We start from the raw sequence: 3599 nt of genomic DNA, 5'->3' as shown, positions 1-3599 counted from the left end.
TTGAATAGATGCTGCTTTCTATTATCTCTTCCCAGAGAAAAGAGGCAAAAATCTATGGCAATAGAAGAGGGGAAAATCATTCTAATAGTTGATGGCACATAATACATTAAAGCAATACTCAGTCACCATACATTAAGTCTTTTTTCATATGGCTTTTAAACAGCTTTTCTCATTAGCCACATGAAATACAGTAATCCTTTAGCTCTCCTTGTCAGATTATCAGCTATTTCAAGTAAGTGTTAACATTTCTGTCACTGGCAAAAGTGAATTATGTTTTCCTTCCTAAGCTTGCATCAACATGCCCAACAAGTGGGCTGCATGCTACTCTCTAATGGGACGGCATGAGGTGCCACTGCTTGGTGATTATGAAGCAGCTCAACATCTGGAGGTGGGGGCATGTCAGCCTGAGCAGGGCCAGGCAACCTTTGCAGGATGAGTGAATGAATGAATTGGGATATCATCCTGGGTGAATAACAGAACTCCTATAACTGCTCTGGCTTTGGTCTATAAATAGCCTGCACAGAAAATTCTGGATGTTGTTATTCCTTGTGAATTTCTGTGTCAGCGTTAATGACAATACAGAGGATACCAGCTACTTTATGCTCAAACACCCATTTTTTAGAAATCTGGAAAATCTGTCCACCAGGAAAATTCAGTTGGGTGATTCAGAGTTCTTATTTTGTGAACCAGTTGATCATGGTGTATCAGAGAAAGATCCTATTTAAGAGACAAACTGCAATAGAAATTCAAATTTCTTAACAGGTGAATGTGATCAGGCCCTGGTTGCTTTTCCACCTCCTCTTGGCTGTGCAGTGTGTCACGCTGCTGCTGCACCACATCACGTCTTTTCACTGCCCTTCCCATGATGGGAACAACTACCCATTTTGTCTACCTGGAGAAATCTCACCCATCCCCTAGAATGATGCTTTTCTATATTCCCCAGCATTTTGTACCTACCTCTATTGACACTTCTAAATCTCATTCTATTTATATGTATATAATCTTGTCTATTCCATTGAATGGTGAATTTCTTGAGATCAGAAACTATATTTTATTTTGAATTTCAAATGGGCTCTTGTATATATCAGAAGCCAAATAAATGATTGTTGAGATTAATAACTACTACTTAGAGTATTTCAGTTATTCACACTGCAACACTGGAAAGTAAATATTATTACTTTCATTTTAAAGATAGAATACAGGATCACAGATTTTTAGATAACTTGCCCAAAGTAATAAACTAGCGATAGAATATCTTAGATTGCAAATCAACTGTGCAATCCCCATTTTAAATTAAATATTTAATTTAACACATTTAACCTGTGTGCAGAATCACTAAAACTTCACAAATTGTATTTGTTAGTTCATGGATACATATGTATTTTGTTCTAACCAGAAGAGTGGAGACCTAGCACTGAATTATCTCCAATGTTTTGTCTTTTCACTTCTTGATATCAGCACATCCTATCAGTGCTTTCTGTCTTTGGCTTACAGATGATTAAGGAAGGGCTGAAAGGAAAATGGGTTGTCTCATCTTTTTTTGTCCTTCCATATCATTATTTCTGTGTAAGTGGCTGACTAATACAGGGAAGTAAGAAAGGATCGGGAAAATTCCTGTGGTGAAAGAATTCACTTTTGAGGAAATGAAGACCTTAAGGGGGAAAATAGAATGAAGACAAAGGTCAGAAATATTCATCTAAAAGCTCCTACAAATACTTTTCTATTAAGGAAATTTAACTGCAAAAATAAACACCAAATATAGGCAATCGATGACTTTTCTCACACTAAATTAGTAGTAATGCATGTACATTTATTTCCCTTGCCGTGTTTAGCTTAATTGAAACTTTTCAGGATCTCTCCTGAAAACTGGTGGCTGCCAATTTGTTTTACTCCAATATGCATGCTAATAAGCACGTGTAAAGGTAGAGATCAATATTCATTAAAGGTAACATGCATGCTAACAAGAATTTTTATGTGTCTTTCTCATCCTCCAACCAAATGTTTCATGCTTTTCTGATTTTATGGCTGGAGCTCCTCTTCTTTGATGCCCCCTCCAGTCTCTTCAGTGGAGTCAGAAGCAGAGACTTGGCTGCCTGAGATGGAAAAGGCATTGGAGACCCTCAATTGTTCTCTGCTGAGGAAGTATTTAGTGCTCTTCTCTCCCGGAACGCTATTGGGATTAGATTGCTTAGGTCTGGGAGTGTTAACTTCTTGCCTAGGCTCCTGTTGCCTGGCCCTCCTTAACACTTTGTGGCTCCCTCCTCAGAGAAAGGCACAGTTCTAAGGCTGGAACGATTTCCCTTTGTCACGCGTGTCCATGTGAAGAGACCACCAAACAGGCTTTGTGTGAGCAACAAGGCTGTTTATTTCACCTGGGTGCAGGCAGGCTGTGTCCAAAAAAGGAGTCAGCAAAGGGTGGTGGGATCATCATTAGTTCTTATAGGTTTTGGGATCAGTTAAGGTGGGGCAGAAACAAATCACAATGGTGGAATGTCATCAGTTAAGGCTATTTTCACTTCTTTTGTGGCTCTTCAGTTGCTTCAGGCCATCTGGATGTATAGTGCAGGTCACAGGGGATATGATGGCTTAGCTTGGGCTCAGAGGCCTGACAGTATGTAACCTGCATTTCCCAAAAGACTGTCACCAATGAGTTGAAATAATTGATTGACTGTCACCTACATTCTACTTGTTATTGCCCTCTCTCACCGCCAATAAAAGACCTACCAGCATTTCTGTTCAAACAAGCCATTGTTCATGCAAAATAGACTTAAGGCTGTCCACTCCAGCTGCGCTCACCCCACTGGCCCAACAAAGCCTGTGCCACAGCTGGGATCCCTTCTCTGCAAACATGAGGAAACTTGGGTTTTGTGAATTGGTAAGTTGCTCAAGGGTGCACACTTCGAAGAGACAGACCTGGATCATCAATTTATACTTCTGCCTCTAAGGGCACTACCTTCCTTCTGTGTTCGAGCTGATCAACTTCTCATCTCAATACAAAATCATCACAACACTTTATGCCACTTGTTTATATTACTTCATATTACTTCTTACTTTCACGGTCACACAGATTCGTTTCCTTTGGCAAACAAACTAAAATTGCGGCAATTAAGTGAGAAGGTTAGGGAAGAAGGTTAGGGCAGGAGGGGTGTGGTCTGAAAAGCCTCACAAGACCAAAGGGCAGTGACTCCTAAGGACAGGGAGCTCAGGGATTCATTGCACAGGCCCGAGGTGGGAGTGGTGCGAAGAGCAGGCCTCATGGTTTGTCAGGGTGGAGCATAGTTTAGTCACCATTATGTACTTAAGGCTAGTAAATACACCACAGACTTCATTAGCTAAGCAGCAATCCATACAGATATTAACCAATTTTCCACTCTGTGCCAAGCACATATGCCATCGTTTGGTGATTTTCACCTATTCATACAATCTTCTCAACAAGTCTGTAAGGTCTTTTGGGACAGAGAAAGTCTCCTGCATCTTATGCTCTCTTACCACTTTTTGCTTAATAGATTTTGTTGTTTCAAATTCTAAAAAGGAAGGAAATTAAACAATTCTTAACCAAATGATCGTTCTCAAACAGGGTCAGTGCCCTCTCTTGGGAT

At 40.2% G+C, this 3599-nt stretch overlaps 1 annotated feature.

The window, feature by feature from the left end:
- Positions 3118-3318: a silencer, noted in NCBI's record as "peak2058 fragment used in MPRA reporter construct". NCBI's record gives its function as "represses an SCP1 promoter by STARR-seq MPRAs in K562 erythroleukemia cells {active_cell/tissue: K562}" and the evidence as "EXISTENCE:reporter gene assay evidence [ECO:0000049][PMID:32103011]".

Source organism: Homo sapiens, chromosome 13, assembly GCF_000001405.40.
Source record: "Homo sapiens chromosome 13, GRCh38.p14 Primary Assembly".
NCBI classification, from domain to species: Eukaryota; Metazoa; Chordata; class Mammalia; order Primates; family Hominidae; genus Homo; species Homo sapiens.
This window is presented reverse-complemented; position numbering and strand designations above follow the sequence as displayed.